Genomic DNA, 22,569 nt, shown 5'->3' with positions numbered 1-22,569 from the left:
TCTTTTGTGACTGCTGGGGTGATGCCCATGTTAATTTATCAAGAAGCTTTCTTAGGAGAGTGAGATTTGATCTTTCCTACAAGGAAATAAACTCACTACACCCTTCTATACTGTTTTGCAGATGTATTTATGAGTGAAATGCAGCAGCATTTTCTGTGAAGTTTTAAAGGCGTAGCCATGTCTTGGAACTCTTCTTGGGTAAAAAGGGTGAGTAGTGGCAGAAAACACAAGAGGTGAGAGTCACTTTTAAAGTTTTTGTCATCCCTTAATATTACTGAACATGCCAACGAGGAAGAGAGAGGAACAGCATCCAACCTGAGGGACACTCATGAGAAATTATGCCACAGTATGCTATTCCCTGGCCTCTAAAGGCTCATAGCCACAGATCAAGTAGTCAGGCCCATGGCGGATTTGAGATGATTTTTCAGTTTTCTGTGTTACTCTTCCCATTGGCTTTGCCCCAGAAAGACAAATAAAAACCTTTCTACCAACCCCAATTTATTTTCTCTGAGACCTCTTTAATCATCCTTTATTCACAGTGCCTACAATTTCATCTCAATATGCTTATATAGAGTTTTCATTTGTAATTTAGAACATATATAATTTTCATAATTAAGTAATTATAATTGATTACAAAAGTATCTATTTACATTTTTTAGCCTCTGGTTTTCAATGACTGCAAAATTTGAATTCCTTTCACTCCAGTTGGAACTATATTGGCCTATCTTAAATCATTCTAGTTTCTATTGCAGCCCATGCTAAACTCACCTTAACCATCTGCAATTAATGATACTTCAGTGCAAATTGTTATTCATCTGAATGTGCCTCCTTTAATCTTCTTTGTCTTGTTTTTACTCTTTCCTAAGGATTATATTCCTCTTCTGTAGCTCTTTTTAAATCTTTTGTATTTCAAAGTGCATTAAGGATTAATGCGTGATGTTCTGTTAAGATGCACAATAATCTTTTTGAAAAATTGTACAAAGGTTATAAAAGTCCTTTATTCACTGCTGTGAAGATGGAGATACCAGACTAAATTAGTATCTTAATATGCTTTTTAAAATTCCTAGAAGCAGACATCATGATGCCCATTTGACCAACAATCTTTTCCATAAATTTATGCCTACAATTGAGGAAGCTAACAGAGACAGTGAGATTGTTTTGCCAAAGACAAGTAGAAATATTCAGTGTTTGAGAAGTACTGGATCCCCCTCTTTAGAATCCTGAGAGTCCTCTACTCCCACTTAAGGGACATAACATTAAAATAAAACATTTTAGAGTTAGGTGATCATTGGACACCAATCCAATCATGGAATACAAATGCGCATGCTGCATCGCAGTGTTCAAGTAAGAAATGGTTGTTGAAATGAGCTGGAACAGGTAAACACACACACACACACACACACACATACACACACACACACACACACACAAGATTAGTGACCAAAAAAGGGGAAATTTTTTTTTAAATTTTTAAATGTTTTAATTATTATTATGCTTTAAGTTCTAGGGTACCTGTGCAGAACGTGCAGTTTTGTTACATAGGTATACACGTGCCATGGTGGTTTGCTGCACCCATCGACCCGTCATCTACATTAGGTATTTCTATTAATGCTATCCCTCCCCTAGGCCCCTACCCTCAGACAGGCCCCAGGGTGTGATGTTCCCCTCCCTGTGTCCATGTGAACTCTTGTTTCAACTCCCATTCATGAGTGAGAATATGTGGTATTTGATTTTCTGTTCTTGTGATAGTTTGCTGAGAATGATGGTTTCCAGCTTCATCCATGTCCCTGCAAAAGATATGAACTCATACTTTTTTATGGTTGCATAGCATTCCATGGTGTATATGTGCTACATTTTCTTAATCCAGTCTATCATTGATGGGCTTTTGGGTTTGTTCCAAGTCTTTGCTATTGTGAATAGTGCCACAATAAACATACGTGTGCATGTGTCCTTATAGTAGAATGATTTATAATCCTTTGGGTATATACCCAGTAATGGGATTGCTGGGTCAAATGGTATTTCTAGTTCTAGATCCTTGAGGAATCGCCATACTGTCTTCCACAATGGTTGAACTAGTTTACACTCCCACCAACAATGTAAAAGCGCTCCTATTTCTCCACATCCTCTCCAGCATCTGTTGTTTCCTGACATTTTAATGATCACCATTCTAACTGGTGTGAGATGGTATTTCATTGTGGTTTTGATTTGCATTTCTCTAATGACCAGTGCTGATGAACTTTTTTTCATATGTTTGTTGGCTGCATAAAAGTCTTCTTTTGAGAAGTGTCCGTTCATATCCTTTGCCCACTTTTTGATAGGGTTGTTTGTTTTTCTTGTAAATTTGTTTAAGTTCTTTGTAGACTCTGGATATTAGCCCTTTCTCAGATGGTTAGATTGCCAAAATTTTCTCCCATTCTGTAGGTTGCCTGTTCACTCTGATGGTAGTTTCTTTTGCTGTGCGGAAGCTCTTTAGTTTAATTAGATCCCACTTGTCAGTTTTGGCTTTTGTTGCCATTGCTTTTGGTGTTTTAGTCATGAAGTCTTTGCCCGTGCTTATGTCCTGAATGGTATTGCCCAAGTTTTCTTCTAGGAATTTTATGGTTTTAGGTCTTAAGTTTAAGTCTTTAATTCATCTTGAGTGGCTTTTTGTAAAAGGTGTAAGGAAGGAGGTCCAGTTTCAGTTTTTTGCATATGGCTAGCCAGTTTCCCAACACCATTTATTAAACAGGGAATCTTTTCCCCATTGGTTGTTTGTATCAGATTTTTGAAAGATCAGATGGTTGTAGATGTGTGGTGTTATTTCTGAGGCCTCTGTTCTGTTCCGATGGTCTATATATCTGTTTTGGTACCAGTACCATGCTCTTTTTGTTACTGTAGCCTTGTAGTATAGTTTGAAGTCAGGTAGTGTGATGCCTCCAGCTTTGTTATTTTGGCTTAGGATTGTCTTGGCTCGTTTTTGGTTCCATATGAAGTTTAAAGTAGTTTCTTCCAATTCTGTAGAGAAAGTCACTAGTAGCTTGATGGGGATAGCATTGAATCTACAAATTACTGTGGGCAGTATGGCCATTTTCACAATACTGATTCTTCCTATCCATGAGCATGGAATGTTTTTCCATTTGTTTGTGTCCTCTCTTATTTCCTTCAGCAGTGGTTCGTAGTTCTCCTTGAAGAAGTCTTTCATATCCCTTGTATGTTGTATTCCTAGGTATTTTATTCTCTTAGTAACAATTGTGAATGGGAGTTCACTCATGATTTGGCTCTCTGTTTGTCTGTTATTGCTATATAGGAATGCTTGTCAGCACCTCATCACACTTATTCTAAAATTGACCACATAATTGAAAGTAAAACACTCCTCAGCAAATGCAAAAGAACGGAAATCATAGCAAACAGTCTCTCAGAACACAGTGCAATCAAATTAGAACTCAGGATTAAGAAACTCACTCAAAACTGCACAACTACATGGAAACTGAACCACCTGCTCCTGAATGACTACTGGGTAAATAATAAAATGAAGGCAGAAATGAAGATGTTTTTTGAAACCAATTAGAATGAAGGTAGAACATACCAGAATCTCTGGGACACATTTAAAGCAGTCTGTAGAGGGAAATTTATGGCACTAAATGTCCACAAGAGAAAGCAGGAAAGATCTAAAATTGACACCCTAACATCAAAGTTAAAAGAACTAGAGAAGCAACAGAAAACAAATTCAGAAACTAGTCAAAGACAAGGAATAACTAAAATCAGAGCAGAACTGAAGGAGTTAGAGACACGAAAAACCGTTTAAAAAAATCAATGAATCCAGGAGCTGTTTTTTTTAAAAGATCAACAAAATAGATAGACCACTAGCCAGACTAATAAAGAAGAAAAGAGCGAAGAATCAAATAGACTCAGTATAAAAGATAACAGAGGATATCACCATTGATCCCACAGAAATACAAACTACCATCAGAGAATAATATAAACACTTCTATGTAAATAAACTAGAAAATCTAGAAGAAATGGGTAAATTCCTGGACACATACACCCTCCCAAGTTTAAACCAGGAAGAAGTCGAATCCCTGAATAGACCAATAACAAGTTCTGAAATTGAGGCAGTAATTAATAGCCTACCAATCAAAAAAAGTCCAGGACCAGATGGATTCACAGCCGAATACTACCAGATGTACAAAGAGGATCTGATACCATTATTTCTGAAATTATTCCAAACAATAGAAAAAGAGGGAATCCTCCCTAGTTCATTTTATGATGCCAGCATCAGTCTGATAACAAAACCCGGCAGAGACACAACCAAAAAAGAAAATTTCAGGCCAATAGTCCTGATGAACATCAATGTGAAAATCTTCAATTAACTACTGGCAAACCGAATCCAGCAGCACATCAAAAAGCTTATCCACCATGATCAAGTCGGCTTCATCCATGGGATGGAGGGCTGGTTCAACATACACAAATCAATAAATGTAATCCATCACATAAACAGAACCAATGACCAAAACCACATGATTATCTCAATAGATGCAGAAAAGGCCTTCGACAAAGTTCAACACTCCTTCATGCTAAAAGCTCTCAATAAACTAGGTATCAATGGAACATATCTCAAAATAATAAGAATAAGAGCTATTTATGACAAACCCACAGCCAATATCATACTGAATGGGCAAAAACTGGAAGCATTCCCTTTGAAAACTGGCACGAGACAGGGATGCCCTCTGTCACCACTCCTATTCAACATAGTATTAGAAGCTCTGGCCAGGGCAGTTAGGCAAGAGAAAGAAATAAAGCGTATTCAAATAGGAAGACAGGAAGTAAAATTGTTATTTTTACTTACGTTATTGTGTATTTAGAAAACCCCATCGTCTCAGCCCAAAATCTGCTTAAGCTGATATGCAACTCAGCAAAGTCTCGGAAAAAAATTTATATTGAAAATTTAGACCACTAAGAATATATTCAGAGACACTATTTTAGGAAATAAAAATATAATTGCAAATAAAATATAATGTGCAAATAAAATATAATTAGTTACAAAATTTAAAACTCCCCATTATAGTATTTTAAAATTACTTATTCCAATTATGTTAGAAGAAAACACTCTGATGAGAAACATTTCTTTGGCATGAACAGGCTTGAAAGAACTGGACAGGACAGGTTTTGTCCACCATCTCTGTTTGAATCCCAATTTTAGCTTTTTCTCATGGAAAATTTCAATTTATTAAAGCTTTGCTGCTGTTTATTCAGCTCTTTCTGAAAACTTTAATGGCTTATGAAACAAATTCAATAAACATTTTGTCTAGAACTCTAACTTCTATAATAAGTGTTTTACTCTTTGCTTGCCTTAGTATTCATTTAATACAAAAGATCATTTGTCTTTTTTATTATGTATACATGAATTTCCATATTAGTGACAGTGACCAATACAGGGGTATCAATGACTTTATTTTCTATTGTGTCAGTGAAATATTTAGTTAGCAACTGTGTTTGCTTGCTTGTTTGTTTTACAATTAACTGCTTAATTGGGGAAAGATATTGTATTAGTCTGCTTGAGTTGCCAAAACAGAATACCACAGACTGGGTGGCTTAAACAACAGAAATGTATTTCTCACAGTTCTGGAGGCTGGAAGTCCAGGATCAAGGTGCTAGGGTGTCTGACGAGGCAGACACTTCTTTCTGGCTTGCAGATGGCCACATAATTCCACTACACGTGGTCGTTTCTCTGTTCATGCCTGGAGAGAGAGAGAGAGTGATATCTGGTGTCTTTTCCTCTTCTTAAATGGGCCTTGGATTGAGACCCCACCCTTAGGATCTCATTAACTCTTAATTACATCCTTAAAGTTCTTGTCTCCAATACAGTCCCATTCTGAGGTCCTATTGGTTAGGGTTTCAACATAGGAATCTTAGGGGCACACAATTCAATCTATGTCAGGTATTTATTACATATTGTTCACATTAAAATAATAAATTTTGCTAGAGCAGTAATATCTTACTCTGTTGCCTGCCTGTTCTAGATGAAATAAAAAACTTTTTGTTTGACACCAAATTTGATTTACATTTTAGATATACACAGATAGTTTTTTAGTTATAAATATGTCCCAAAGATTAAATATTATATATTTATGTTTTTTTAATCTGAAATTCATATTAAACTGAGCACCTTGTACTTTTATTGGTAAATTTGGCAAATCTAATGCCTCCACCCCTCCACCTCCAAGATTAAACACTTATTCCCTCGGCCTTTGACAGCTCTCAGCTGATTCGTCTTTGGGGATTTGCCTTTAACTGAACAGAGCCTCCTTGACCAAGGTTATGTCCCCTATATAGAGCATGTGTGCTTACAGTGGATACCTCCATAAAAACATATAGGCCTGGACCCCTTGCACCAATTTAAGTCTGAAAGTCTATCCCAGATGTAGAACTCCCTGAAGGATTTGCTGAGAGCTTTTTTGCAACTAAAATCACAATTTAACAATTTGTCTCTGCCTAATCCCATTTTCTTCACTCCTCTCGAAGTGTTATCCCAAGAATTCTCCCCAGTGAATTTCATGCATACAGACCTCCAGCTCAGAGTCATCTTCCTGGGAACCAGGTGCATTAGCTGTATTACCCAAAAGATCCCCCACTTTGGCGGGATTACCCACTTTTAATAGGACTTAAAGAAGAAAAGGGCTCTGTAAAAGATCCAGACTACTGTGCAGCTAGTCCTATCATTTGGGACACATGTCCTGTTAATCCAACCATATTAGACTCTAATTATTTTATCATCCCTCAAGGCCTCCTGAGCAAGGCCCAAACGCAAAATTATAACATTTACCTTTAGGGTATTGAAGTAAGGTCAAGCCATATGCAGAAGAGAATTATACATTAAAAAAAAAAAACAAAGCAATTTTTGACATGCTACTGGACCTAACAGATATGAAGTGCCTGACCATGGGGCACTAAATAACCTTGTGGCCAAAATTCGCCCATCATGAGCTGAGCTATATCAAAGCCATCAAGTCATAATATCATTTGGGCACAACAGTAATCCATATAAAGACAAAGGAGGTACCTCCTTGATGAGAAATGGGCAGAGTCAGAACAGAGTAAGATGCATTAGCAAGTGTCTCAGGCCCTGTATCTCTCACTGTCCACCAGGACTCTGCCTCTTGGTGTGTGTGTTGCAGGGGTGATGGATAAAGAAATGACCAAGCTTGGTTCACAGATCAATCAGCTTGGTTGTGAACATATGACAAAATAGAAAGTGATGCATTTGAGGCCCACTCAGGAGAGTGCCTTGGAATACAGTGGAGAGTGGAAATTTGCAAGAGTACAGAATAATGTCCACTGCGTGTGGAGAGAGAAGTGGTGTGAGGCAGGGGCATAGGCATACATATGGTTTGCCTCATTGATCAAGGACCCAGAAAAAGAAAGATTGGAAGATTAAGGGCAAGGACCGGGAAAGACCTGATGGATGAGTTACTCAGACTGGGCACAGAGTGTGAGGATGTCCATGATCCTGGGACCACCCCTCAGCAGGTATCTGTGGTAAGGCAGATGCCCTTTTATCAGGTGGAACAGATGAGGATGGAAAGACAACCGAGCTGTGGATGTCACCAAGCTTCTGTTCCCTGCCCTTCCCAGCACTTATGCAATGGATTTACTCATCATTCCAGGCAGGGGTGGAGGCCATGCAGGGGTTCGATAACAGAGACCTCCTCTCACCAAAACAGGTCTGGTTACCACTTTCACTAAGTGCTAACAGCAGAGGCCAGCACAGAGTCCCTGACATATTGCAACTCCCTGGGAATTACAGATGGGGGCAGCCAGCCTCCCAGGGGTAGTAGGAACTACTGGACAAATTCCATCCCATAGGGAACAGTGATGTTTTCATGAGGAAAGAGATGATTTTCAAATATAATTTTTCTTCCTTTGCCCACATGTTCCTGCCAGCATTGTCCTCTGTGGACATTCAGAATTCTTTACTTGCCAAGATGGTATTCCACAAATATTGCTTTTGACTTAAGAATTTGTTTTACAGGGAAAGGAGTGTGGTATGAGACTTGCTACTTGATTTTTTTTTTTTTTTTTTTTGCAAATTCCATTACAAACTGCTGGCTTGATAAATCCGATGTGAATTATGGAACAAACAGTGACAGCATCATCTGAGAGATAGGATGTGACAGTTGCTTGTCTAAGAAATAGACTCTAAGAGGGAGCATAAAGTCTGGTATGCTTCTCATTGAATGTCCTTAGGATTGACATCTGCAGAAAGTGGGGAAGGAAGCATAATTGGATAGGGAAAGAAGACAACCTGCTATTCAGACCTGATAGCCTCAGGAACTCTACATGACACCCTGGAGCTGGAAAGGGCTGAGTTTTTCCACACTGGGCCAAAGGATCCAGAACTTTATAACCCATCTCAGTAAGTCACTGGATATATGATGCATAAAGGAAGGGAATGATCTTAGAGGAGGCAGCTCTTCAGAGCTTAGGCAATCCCTGAAGGGGCAGACCAGTGAAGACTGTTTGCTGCTTACCCTCTCAGCCTTGGGACAACAGTCCCTGAAGGAGACCTTGGTAATGTATCTCCATGTCTATCATCATCTATCCTTCAAATCGAAATAATGACTCACTGGTTGCAGCATTTGCTTTAAACTCAGAACTAATATATGGTGCTGTTTCCCCCCATCTCCAGAATACAAGAGTCCAGGGCCAGGGATGTGGTGGAGGGTTTAATAGTGAGTATCCCTCACAGTTTCAACTTTCAGCCTTTAAGGACTTTCTGATTCTTGTGTCTCCCTTGGATGTTTTTTGGAGACCCTACTTCCCAAGAAAACAAACACTTCCACCAAGAAAGGCTGCACGGAATTGGAAGCTGAGATATGTCTCATGTCTTTAGGTCATTTTGGCCACCATATGCCACTGAAGGGCAAGCAGAGAAGAAGGTGACACTCTTGGCTCAGAAGATTAGTCCCCCTTGCCAAGAAGAAACCATCTGGGCCAAAGGGACTAGATGTAGAAGCTAGTTGTCCCAGCGCACACTGTGGTACCCCTGTGTCCAAAACTAAAGGCCAGCACCTTGACAGAGATGAGACCACTGAGGACTCAGATCCATTAAGATTAAAGACGCAACCGGCCGGGCACGGTGGCTCACGCCTGTAATCCCAGCACTTTGGGAGGACGAGGCGGCCGGATCACGAGGTCAGGAGATCGAGACGATCCTGGCAAACACAGTGAAACCCAGTCTCTACTAAAAATACAAAAAAATTAGCCGGGCGTGGTGGCGGGCGCCTGTAGTCCCAGCCACTCGGGAGGCTGAGGCAGGAGAATGGCATGAACCCAGAGGCAGAGCTTGCAGTGAGCCGAGACCATGCCACTGCACTCCAGCCTGGGTGACAGAGTGAGACTCCGTCTCAAAAAAAAAAAAAAAAAAAAAAAAAAAAAAAAAAAAAGACACAACCTTATTTAGGCAAGGTATAGGCAGAAGAGAAGGGGAACATAAAATGAACGACGGAAGGAGGAAGGTATGCTCATAATCGTGGTCTAGTGTTCATTACAGAGGCCAATCATGGCATTTATGGGTATTTTATCTTAACCGTTTCTTCCTACTTCCCCTTCAGTGTTCTACTGGTGCCTAAATGGAGTCTAACATCCTAATTTAAGTTCTAAAAGGAAGTGTGAAATTTACATCACATAGTGATAAACAACGGCCAATGATACTTTATGACTCCCTTCTACTTAGCATGAGAATTTCTTCACGTGAACAAAAGGCAAGAAAGAATGCCGGGTGGATAGGGTTGAGTTTTGCTGGTTAGTCTCCGCTGGTCTCTCCCAGACACATTCTCTGATCCCGCTGCCCTGCTCTGTGATCTCCAAGGCTCTGCCCAATGCTTGTCGTCATTCAGATCCTTAGCAGCTGGCTTCTAATTGAAAAAGAGTGATGGGATGCTATAGGGACAATGCAATAGAGGTCAGGGTGTTTCCTCCCTGCTCCCTCCATGCTGTAGTCTCAAACCGTTGCTCCTTTAGATCTCAGCATACACCATTGTTGTTTTTCTTAATCCTGACCACACTCTATTAATAGTCTCTTATTTAGGTCTCATTATTTAAACCATTTTCAAGTGGATGCTGTTTCTTGCTGAGACTGAATTTCCGGATTATTTGAGTTAATAGTATCCATATAGTCTAACATAACTATGTGACCTTTAAATTTGTTAATTTCTTTATGTCCAAGCATCCATTGGTCTCATTTAAAATAGCTATGCTGTTGGTGATTCTGTAGGGTGGCAGGTTGGTGATTCTGTTGGTGATTCTGTAGGTGACCAGTGTTTCTAGATTTATCTGAAAGTGTCACCATACAAGTCTGTCATTATCAGTCATCTGCTCCTGATTCATTTGGTGTGGTCATCAATACAGAACTTCAACCAATAGTCAGCAAGTTGAAACCCACTCTTAAATGAATCATCTACACCTTTATAAGAGTTTTGGAAATGATGTTTCTTAATGAATATAAAGTGAAGCAAAGGAAGTGCCTATGACAGGCAATGCCCTCCAAACCACCGAATGAAAGAGTTTACCATGATTTGATGATAGAGATGAGAAACAGCTTCTAAGGGCTGAAGTGAGATGCTCGGCCCACAGGCTGCATGAGGTGCTGGATAATAAGTGCTCCTTTGATGCTGTTACCTGGAGCCCCTTAAGCACTCTTCCTGCATTTCTTTTTTTTTTTTTTTTTTTGAGACGGAGTCTCGCTCTGTCGCCCAGGCCAGACTGCGGACTGCAGTGGCGCAATCTCGGCTCACTGCAAGCTCCCGCTCTTCCTGCATTTCTATTTCAGGGTAGGGCTTAAGTCTGTTTCGCCTTCTCTGCTATCTCTGTTTTCTGATTAACAATTCAAGGACTAAAAACCTGGGTGTCTTCCATTGATTAAATTGGTCTCCTGGCTTAACTTTTACCTCAGATCACTTCTAAGTTTTTGGACTTATTGTAAATATATATTTTGAATTGATATTTTAAGTGCCCTAGGCCAGCCCTGGCACATATGTGCTCAATAAAAATTCTTCCTCAAAAATAAGGTGTGCTTTTGACAGATTACAGAGATGTGGGGAGAAAGAGCAGCACTGTTGTTCTAACCACGCTATAGCAAGTATGTGGGATTCAGAATCTCTTGCACCATCATTCATTTTTATTAAATGCATGGGCTGCCACCACAGGCGTCTGGCAACTCCTTACAAAGTTATTATTTCTTTACTCTAGGTGACAGGAGATTGATCAAAGCTGCTTGTAGAAATCTAAATAACATCAGTAATATCAGTGAGTTGGTCATGTTATTTTGAACCTGTCCAGAGTATTTTCCCAGAAGAAAAGTCTGTAAATGAAATTTTGAGACGTAAACCTGAGCTGATATTTTCAACCAATAGATATATCACCTTAGTTTAAGATTGTGAGATAAAAGCTGATAAGCCTAAACGACCACATGCACTTTCCTTTTGTAATTTCTTTAATTAAATACTTATATACATAGTATATTATAATTATATGACTCAGCTATATTATATATTATATTATACAAAAAGGAATTTAAGATTTTTTATTTTGTTACATTGAGACACAACTTAAGAGAAAATTGTAGATGTTTTACCAGGACAGATATTTATCTGGCTGGTAAGCTCAAATTTGTGCATATCAGTCCTTGCTTCTGACTCAATGGAATAGTCTTTTAAGACATCCTGATAATATGAACAAATAGGAAACACACAAAAAAGGTTTCAATTTTTTAATATTATTAGTTTAGCTATCATTAACCTATGAAATAGCTATTTTGAAAAAATTCATTTCATAAATGTTTGTTAAATTCTTTCATTTATCCTACAGATTATTTCTTGAACCTCTATTTTTTCCAGGCACCTAAAAATAGAATAATATTTGAGTTCCCACTGAGAAAGTATGTTCAATGCCAAACGGTGCATTTAACCTTGGAAGTGATATTGTAAAATGTCCAGTGTACAATTTTTTGTTTTATAGTATAAATACTCATTTTGCTTTATATTTTTAACTAGGAATTTCTTCAATTGTTGTTTTCTTCCCAGTAAGGCATAAATATGCAAACTGTTGTTTATGGATAGTTTGCTTAGGTGACAACTACTCACAATAATCATAACTGCTATTATATGCTGAATGTTTTTTCATTCTTCCAGGAGTTGAGTGCCTTACACAGTTTTCATTTAATCCCAACAACCCAAGTACTGTAGTTGTCCCCTTTTTACAAATGAGGAAATTGAAGCTAACACATGATAAGAAGTTTGCCCAAGGTCCTCAGAGCCTATCGTTAGGAATATTGACATTTGAGCACAGACGTTTAACTCCGAGGATGGAGCAATGCAATGAGCCCCATGTTCCACCCCCATTTCCACTATGGCTTGGTCCATTGCAGCAACTGAGGCAACGGCCCTTGCTGGGCTGGAGTTTCCTGTGCCGCACCCTTAGGGCAAGGGCGACTGTTGGGTAAACTGACTACAGCAAAGGGAAGGGACAACTCCAATTGCACTAAATGCAAAATGGCAATTTTCATAGGAAAATCATCTCAAAAGAAAATGCTACACATGTGGTAAGTCATGTCTGCAATGGCAGTCATCAGCGATCTAGCCTCCTACTCCAACTGGGCACTTCTTTTGCTGATGATTTAAATCCAAATCAAGTAAATTTCAACCTGACCCTTCCTCTATTAACAATATATTCTTTAAATGAAAATGACATTTCTATCCCATCAGTGATTTGTCAGCAAACACCAGGCAATTGAAAAAGATTATATTTATGAGTACTGTTAAAAACTTGAGCCTAATTAAATTTAAAGGATTTATATGAGCAATGAATAATTTGTGAATTGGGCAGTCCCCAGATTCACAGCAGATTCAGAGAGACTCCAGGTTGCCTTGTGGTCAGAATAAATTAATAGACTAAAAAAGTAAAGTGAGGTACAGAAATAGGAAGTGAGGTACAGAAACAGCTGGATTGTTTACAGCTCTGTGTTTGCCTCATTTGAACATAGTTTGAACACTCAGTTATGTATGAAGTATGGCCGCTGGTATCGGCCAAGACTCAGCAATTTTTACGGGTGCATACTCCTGAGTTATGTTTTTAATCTTGTCTACCAATTAAGTTAGGTTGCAGTTCACTCACAAGGACTCAAATACAGAAGTACATAGTCCTTCTCAGGCCATATTTAGTTTGCTTTAACAGTATTAATTGTTATTATGAAAAAGAAAGTGTTTTTTTTTTTGTTTTTTTTTTTTTTTTTTTTACAAAAGACTAGAATTTGACTTTAGAAATATTGGTCCCTTTCACCAGTACAAATTAATGACATGACACAAATCACTATACCGCATGCAATTATTTGATAATGACTTGTAATCATAAGTAATTTCTCAAAGAGTAAATTAAATGTTCATTAGAAAACATAACCACTATTAATTGCATTAGTTATTTCCATTAAAAAGCAAAATGTGTTTTTATATAAATCTGAGGATTATTTTAGTTTCTATCTTTGAGAATTTTCTCATTCTCTAGATTTTTTAAAAGTAGAAGAAAAAATGAGCATATGGATATTTATATATATCTTGTGTCTACAGTGTTTGATGACTTACTGAAATGATTTCTGTAATGATTTTTACTCTGTGCTCACATTAAGTTGTAGAGCCCTAAAACTGATTCAGTATTTCCACAAAGAATGCAAAATAGCTTTTGTACCACAAAATATGAGGTATCTTTCATATTTTAATACTTACCACCTGTATGTACGACGAGTAGCATTACAATTACTTTAGTACAATGTTATCACAAAGACTATTCTCATAATCACAGTAGAATTATTTTGTTAGGCTTATTTTCCATTATCCCTTGTTATTTATTTTGTATTCTTTGAAGCCGGGCTATACACTAGATCATGAATATTACCAGTGCTTTTCTGCTTCTATATCTTAGCTTGAATTACTTCTTTCTTTTCTTTTTTCTTCTTTTTTTCTTGGTGCATCAATGTATTCAATTTACAGAGTTCATTTACATTATCTTTTTAATTGAGGTAAAATTCACATAACATTAAATTGATTGATTTTAAGGGAACAATTCAGTGAGTGAGTGGCATTCAGTACATTGTTTTGCAAATTCTGTATCTACCTGGTTCCAAAACATTTTTGTTTCACCCCAGAATGAAACTCAGTAACCGTTAAGCCGTTGTTCTCCATTTCCCCCCTTCCACCTTCTAACACCTACCAATATAAATTCTGTCTGTATGAATTTACCTATGCTGAATGCTGCATTTATTTATTTATGTATTTTATTTTTTAAGTTTTTTTGAGGTGGAGTTTCACTTTTGTTGCCCAGGCTGGAGTACGATGGTGTGACCTTGGTTTACTGCAACCTCCGTCTCCCGGGTTCAAGCGATTCTCCCACCTCAGTCTCCCAAGTAGCTGGGAATATAGGCTCCTGCCACCATGACTGGCTAATTTTTATATTTTTAGTAGATACAGGGTTTCACCATGTTGGCCAGGCTGGTCTCATACTCCTGACCTCAGATGTTCCACCCGTCTAGGCCTCCCAAAGTGCTGGGACTACAGGCGTGAGCCACCGTGCCTGACCTGAATTCTTTATATAACAGGAATCAGACTATACATGATGTTTTGTGCCTGCCTTCTTTTACTTAGTATGAAGTTTCTGAGGTTTATCACTTTGTAGCATATATCGATAATTATTTCATTCTTTTTTATTGCTAAATAACTTTTTATTATGCATATATACCATGATTTGTTATCCCTTCTTCTATTGATGAACATTTGGGATGTTTCCACCTTTTAGCTATTGTGAAGAGTGCTGTTTGCTTTGAACATGCATGTACATGTATTCGTATGACTACAAGTTTTCAATTCTCTTGGGTTTATAACTAGGAGCGGAATGGCCGGGTCATAGAGTAATTCTATGTTTAACATTTTTAGGAGCTATTTGTTTTCACAGTGGCTGTATCATTTTACATTTTCACCAGAGTTTATGAGTGTTCCAGTTTCTCCATATCCCTGCCAACAATTGTTCTTTTCTTTCTTTATTTTTAAATCACCATGCTAGTGGGAGTAAAGTGATATCTCATTGTGTTTTTCCATTTCCGTAATAATTGATGATGTTGAGCATCATTTTATGTGGTTATTGGCCATTTGTATATATTCTCTGGGAAAAGGTCTATTCAAGTCCTTGGACTAGTTTTTAATTAGGTTGTCTGTGGTTTTGTTGTTGAGTCGTAAGGGTTCTTTATATATGTTGTATATTAGTTTCTTACAGATATAATATTTGTAAATATGCTCTATTGTGTAAGTTATTTTCACTTTATTACTGATTTTTTTGATACAAAAAAGCTTACAATTTTGATGAAGTCTGACATTTTTATTCTTTCGCTGCTTCTGCTTTTGGTGTCATACCTAAAAATCTACTGCCAAATATAAGGCTATAAAAATCTACCTCTTTGTTTCCTTCTAAGAGTTACATGGTTTTAGTGCTTATATTCAGGTCACTGATCCATTTTGAATTTAGGAATCTAACATTATTATTATTATTTTTAAATCCTCTAGTCTGAGAGCATTTGTTTGTTTGTTTGTTTGTTTGTTTGCTTGCTTGTTTGTTTGAGACACAGTCTCAATCTGTTGCCCAGTTGAAGTAAGATGATACAATAATGGTTCACTGCAGCTTCAATCTCTCAGGCTGAAATGACCTTCTCATCTCAGCCTCCTAAGTAGCTGGGATTACAGGTGCATGCCACCACTCCCAGCTAATTTTCTTTTTTTTTTTTGGTATTTTCTGTAGAGACAGGTTATTGCCATGTTGCCCAGGCTGTTCTCGAATTCCTGGACTTAAGCAATCTGTGTGCCTTGGCCTCTCAAAGTTCTGGGATTATAGGTGTGAGCTATTGTGCCCAGCCTAATCTTATTTTTTTGTGTGTGAAAATCCGGTTGCTCCTGCACCACTTATTAAAGGGGTTTCAGCTAATATTTATCTCTGTCTACATACAAATAGTTAACATATATGTTAATATACATAGTATATATGGTTAATATAGATGTTTATATATAGTTAGTATACATAGTTTATATATGTTAATATATATTACGTATACTATTACATATAAATTTTATATATTATGTATATGTTATATATAAAATATTATAAAATATATAATAAATTTATATTTAAATGGTGATATGGTGTAAAATGGTAAAATGGTGTTTTACAGATCCCTAAGACTCTGTTCACTTTTCTTCATGATTTTTTCTTTCTTCTCTTCAGAAATTTTAATTGTCTTATCTTCAAGCTGCTGATTCTTTCTTCTCCCTTCTCAAATCCTGTTGAACTTCTTGAGTGAATTTTTTATTTCAGTTATTGCCCTTTTCAGTTTCAGAATTTCTATTTGCTTCCTTTTCATAATTTTTATATCTTTATTGATATTCTCATTTTGTTCACATATGGTTTCCATCGTTCCCTTTAGATTTTTGTCCATAGTTTCCTTTAGCCCTTTGAACATATTCAAGATGGTAGATTTAAAGTCTTTATCTAATAAGTTTCATGTCTGGATGTCCTCAGGGATGGTTTTTGTCAATTTAATATTTCCTATGAATGGGCCATACTTTCCTTTTTCATTGTATGCCTTGCAATGTTTTGTTAGAAACTGGGCTTCTGAGTATTATGTTCCGGTAACTCTGGAAGTCAGCGTCTCACCTTTCCCTAGGTTTACTTGCTGAGATCTGTAGTTGTACAGCGGTCTAGTAACTTTTTTTTAAACTATTTCACAATACTGCATTCCTTGTCATGTGTGATCACTGACATCTCTGTTCACTTTCTCACTTATCACCAAATCACAGAGAAGTAATTTTATTAAACATTTATAGCCAAGAGGGGAAAGGGAGAGAAAAAATAGAAGGAGAGAGAGAAAAAAAATTTCTGTTTGTCTTTGAGCTGGAGCAATCTCTGAATGCTAAACTGGGCTGCTTATAATTCAGCTTTGCTTTTCCCTTTGCTTCTGCAGAGTCTGCAGTTTGGCCAGGAGGGTAAGCACAGGGTCCTCTCAAGTCTTTTCTGAGCCTGCATCTGGTGCTGGGCCTGCACATTCCACTCCCTCTTTCCCCAGTATATGTAATGGTCATTCTGAGCCATTATTCCTCCAAGGAAATTTCTTTTCTGCCTTCTTCTTCCTGTCCTTGGGTTTATTTTATTTTTCCCTGTTTACTGTCCCTTTCTCCATGTAAAAATGGGTAGAATATGTCTCTAAATTTTCAGACAGACCACCAGTGTCACTGCCTGGACAGTCATCCCAACCCAAGGAGGAAAGAAGAAAACAAAATAAAGGTCAGCCTTTGTGCCTGTTCCTCTGGGAGCCACAGAAATAGTCAAAACACAATATTTTACTAACATGAATTTTAAGAGCCAGTCTTTTGAGAACAAGGTGCGTATTAGCCTCTTGGCACCAGCAAGGCACATTTGGAACATGGGTTGCCAAACTCACAGCCGTGACCACTCCCACTGGCTGGAGACTGGGAGATGGTGGACAGGTGAACAAAACTACCACAATACTTTCTTACAAAAACTCACCCATCCTTTTCTTCATTTAAACAGTCCATCTCGTTGCTCTATGTTTTGGATTAGATTCTAGAATTCCAAAAAAAAATTTTTAAATTTTCTTTTGATTTGAAATGCTCTTTCTTATCCTTAAACATTTAAATTTTAAACTTAACCCAAGCTAAACTGATCTTTTGTTACTCTGTCCCTCAGGGCAGGCCGTTCTTGGTTGTGCTCATCTCGGTAAATGATAACTCTGTTTTTCCTGTTTTATTTGTTTGGGGTTTGCCTTCCTCTGCTGCAGGAAACCTATAAGAGATCAAGACTTCTGTCTAGTTCACTGTTATATGATTTATTTCTGGAAAACATGATAAGCACTCAATAAATATTTGTTGAATAGATGTCGAATAAAGTTATTATCTACTTGGGTTCCCTAATGTGAATAAATCTCTTTTATTTACATGGCAGTTTATTCGTCTCTTACTATAATTTGTATTAAAATCTGTCTACCTAATTCAGCAGGAGTTTACACATTTAAATAACTGCAATACTAGTCTGCAAATGCCTGGAGAATGAGAACATGCTTTGTTTACCTATCACAGTTACCTGGCCAGGCACAGACACTCAGACACTGTTAATGGTTTTTCAATCCTCTGGTGAACTCTAAATGAGCAAAGAGAGGTGTTATTTACAGGAATGCTGTGAGTCTGCATCGCATAAGTAGCTCTACTTGTCCTCTGGAATGTCTATCTGCTAGAGATGGCCATTTTCAAGTCAATCTAAGCTTATTTAATACAACATCCTTGTTGATTAGCGGCTCATGCTACTTCTTCTTCTTCCCTCATATTTTATGGAGTCTAACAGAGTGCTATTATATTTATCAATTTTTGTCAAAGACTCCAGCTACATTGGTTAGATACAATGATTATGTGAAATAATCAGAGGTTTGGGTTAAATAGAGCAAAAATTCTTTTCATGGGACTCTAAAATAAATTATCCTTTTCTTTTTCTATTTGTAGAAATTTATTGCTTAGAAACACCACAATTTTTTTTCTGTGGGCCTTTAATACAACTTCTATATTGATCTTTAGACATTTCAGTCTTTCAGCATTTCTTGTAGTTTTTCAGTAGCAGACTGATAATAAAGGAAAGACAATAGCAATTATGTCAAGATACTGTTAGGAGGTAATATAGTTTGGTTCTGTGTCCCCACCTAAATCTGACCTTGAGTTGTAAAAATCCCCACGTGGCAAGGGGGGGGCAAGGTGGAGATAATTGAATCATGGGGGCAGTTCTCCCCATGCTGTTCTCATGAAAGTGAGTGAGTTATCATGAGATCTGATGGTTTTATAAGAACAGATGCCTTCCTTCTTCACTCGCATTCATTCTCTCTCCTGCTGCCCTATGAAGTGATGCCTTCTGTCATGATTGTAAGTTTCCTGAGGACTCCCCAGCCATGCGGAACTGTGATTCAATTAAACCTCTTTTCTTTATAAATTATTCAGTCTTGGGTATTTCTTCATAGCAGTGTGAGAACAGACCAATGATATAGGAGTTAAGAAGAAGTTACTTAGGCAGATGGAGAGGGTATGGAGTCCTCGGTAAGGTTTTCCTTATTAATGAAAAACAGTCCCAAAATCATTTTCTAACAAAGAGCAGCTTGTAGAATTGAGCTGCAGACATAGACAAGCAATCTGGAAGCTTGCATGGGTGAATGCCAGCAGAAAAAGCTACCTGGGACTAAGCATGTTCAAAACAGCAACTCCATCTTGCCTTCTCTCTTTGCCAGCCACGAGTACAGTAAGGAGCAGACAAGATGGCACTGGTCAAGTGGAAAGCCCATTTACATAATAAGACTAGGGCGAGGTGGCCGGCCTTCCCTGTGCGCTATGTAAATATCACACACACCTAATCGAACCAATGTGTGGGCTCTAAATAAATCAGACACTTGCCTCCTCAAGCCGGCCTATAAAATTCAGTGCATCCACCACTGGCTGGTGATACCTTTCAGAATCCCCTCTCTCTCAGTAGGGAGAGAGCTGTTCTCCTTTCTCTTTCTTTTGTCTATTAAACCTCTGCTTCTAAACTCCTCATGTGTGTCCATGTCCTAAATTTTCTTGGCACAAGATGATGAACCCGAGGTATTTACAATCGACAACAGAGCCACTTCACTAATACAGGAGGTAACCTGAAACAAACACTTAGGAACACACATTACTATCTATCACAGTATTACTAATGGTACATAAATGCAACAATCAACATTTATAGTTAGGTAATTGTCAATAATGTTTGGTATACTGATATATAGGATGAGCTATCATGTAGCCTTAAACAATACTGACAAATTGTTTATATAATGTTAATTATAAAGAAAATAAAATCCAATATATTGTATGATAATAATTTTATTCAGAAAATGTCCAACACTTAATACAATCGAAAGAAAACATAAAACATATAAACAATTTTACCTGTACTTCTGGGTCCTGAAAATACAGAAAATATTTGTTTTAAAATTTTACATTGCTAAATCTTTCAGAAACCACAAATGTATATTCATTTTTATTATTTTTAGAGAAAAATATTCAAAAGAAAAAATATATGTATGATAGTATGGGTTGTCAGTCTAATCTAGGTAATTCTACATTTGAATTATAGAATTTCTATGAGCTCTGTTATGCCCATAATTTATCTATTCAGTTAATCAATCTAATAAATATTTTCTGAGTAGAAAAACAATGCTGATTAATGTGCTAGATGCTGGAGGTGCTGCTGAGTGAGATAAACAGGACCTTTCTTTGAGAATGACAGGTCTTTCTTGCAACTGTTAAAACCTAGTACTATATTCCTGGTCTGCTCACCTACTGGGCTATATGTGGTTTAAGGCAAGGGTTATGCCAATAGTAATTATATCTTGCATACATAGCGTTGTGTCTGGCACATAACTGTGACTCAGTAAATCTTTTGACAATAGAGATATTGAGTAGTAGTCTCAAAACTTTAAACTCAATATAGATTTTCAAGTCAACATTTGCCAATGAAGGAGTCATTAGGAGATTGAATATAATTATAAGACATACACAGGTAACACCTTAAGATATACACAGGTAACACCTTAAAGCACTGTTGAAGATTTTCTTGCCATGAAAGAAAAATGCAAGCCACAGTCCTATGATAAAAGAGCATGGGCTAATAACTGAAAAGTTTTGGGTTTTAGTGTCACTAAGCTCAAATAAAAGTAGTTTAAATGTTTTGAAAAATATGTTTTAATAAAAACTAATAAAGTATAGTAAAATATATTTTAATAAAAATATAAATTTAAGTAAATATTTAAGAATTACTTTCCTGCTTCTTATCACAGTACCTTTGAACTAACTTGGAAAGGCGTAGGTACTGCATTTGGAATGAATAACTTTGAAGAGATGATCTGGGAAGGAAAAGGTTCTTGCTTCTGTTTTTAGAGGGAGAAAGCTCTGAGCTTCAGTCATAAAGTGGCACTCCTGTGTGCACATCCTGCTTCTTCAGGTGAGTGTGAAACCCCACTGATCCTCCTGGCTTTTCCTAGCTATAGTAAAGCCATGGTCTAAGTGGCACCATATAATCAATATCAAAATTTGGCTAATCAAGCCAAATCTGTCATGTAGAAAATGCCTCTGCTTGGCCATGAAAACATCTGGGAGAACTTAAGAGCACAGGTGACTGGTGCTCCAGTCTTGGCGCACTGAGGTCTCTTCTCCTTTTTAAGAACCTGATACTGAGTGCATTCAATTTAATCAGAAAATGAGCATGAGTTAGAGAGACTGGTGATGAGCTCTTTCCCCTCTTCCTAATCCCTTCACCTAAAGCATTGGCAACTATAATAAGTCATACACAGGCTCCCAAAAGACAATATGGATATAAAAAGTAAGATTATAAAAAGAAGGTTAAAAATGTTTGTAACTAAACAACAAACAAATTGACAATATAGAAATTCAAATAATTTATATATTTGAAATTAGATTGAAGAAAATTACTTTTTTGTTCCCTGGTAACTTCATAGGATTTATAGGAGCTTAATTTTTATTATTGTTCCAGTAGTTTACATGCCATTTGTTCAAATATAAAGAAGGAAGTTTACTTGTATTATATCATTACAATTTTGATCTTATCTACAAGTCTAATCAACATATTTGATTTAGCTTCAGGAAAATAAAAGCAATCTACATTTTATCAAGACCACAGAGTCATGTATTTCGTTTATTTTCAACAGTGATAATTATTAAAATATATGCTTAACTCTTCAGTAGTAACAGTCAAAACCTGAAAATAACCCAAATGTCCTTAAATAGGAGAAAGGTTCAACAAACTGTTCTATGTCCTTACCATGAAATATTACTCAGCAACAAAAAGGAACAAGTTATAGATACATGTGACAATCTGGAGAAATGTGCAGAAAATAATGCTGAGAATAAAAGTGAACCCCAAAAAGTTATAAAGTCTATGAATTTATATTTATATAACATTTATGACATGACAAAAATATAGAAATGGAAATTTCTATATTTCCATTTAGTGGTTGCCAAAGGTTGAGTGTGGGGAGAATTGGTGGCTGGAGGAAAAGGTGTGGTTATAAAAGAGCAACATGAGGGTGCCTCTGTGGGAATCTGTGTTTTGACTGTATCTCTTGGGAACAGGCCCCCCAAAATCTGGCCATAAACTGGCCCCAAAACTGGCCATAAACAAAATCTCTGCAGTATTGTGACATGTTGGTGATGGCCATGACACCCATGCTGGAAGGTTGTGAGTTTACTGGAATGAGGGCAAGGAACACCTGGCCCACCCAGGGCAGAAAACCACTTAAAGGCGTTATTAAACCACAAACAATAGCATAAGCGATCTGTGCCTTAAGGACATGCTCCTGCTGCAGATAACTAGCCCAACCCATCCCTTTATTTTGGCCCATCCCTTTGTTTCCCATAAGGAATACTTTTAGTTAATCTATAACTATAGAAACAATGCTTATCACTG

The sequence above is a fragment of the Homo sapiens genome, chromosome 8 (genome assembly GCF_000001405.40).
Source record: "Homo sapiens chromosome 8, GRCh38.p14 Primary Assembly".
In the NCBI taxonomy this organism is placed as follows: Eukaryota; Metazoa; Chordata; class Mammalia; order Primates; family Hominidae; genus Homo; species Homo sapiens.
Note: the sequence above shows the minus strand (reverse complement) of the source record.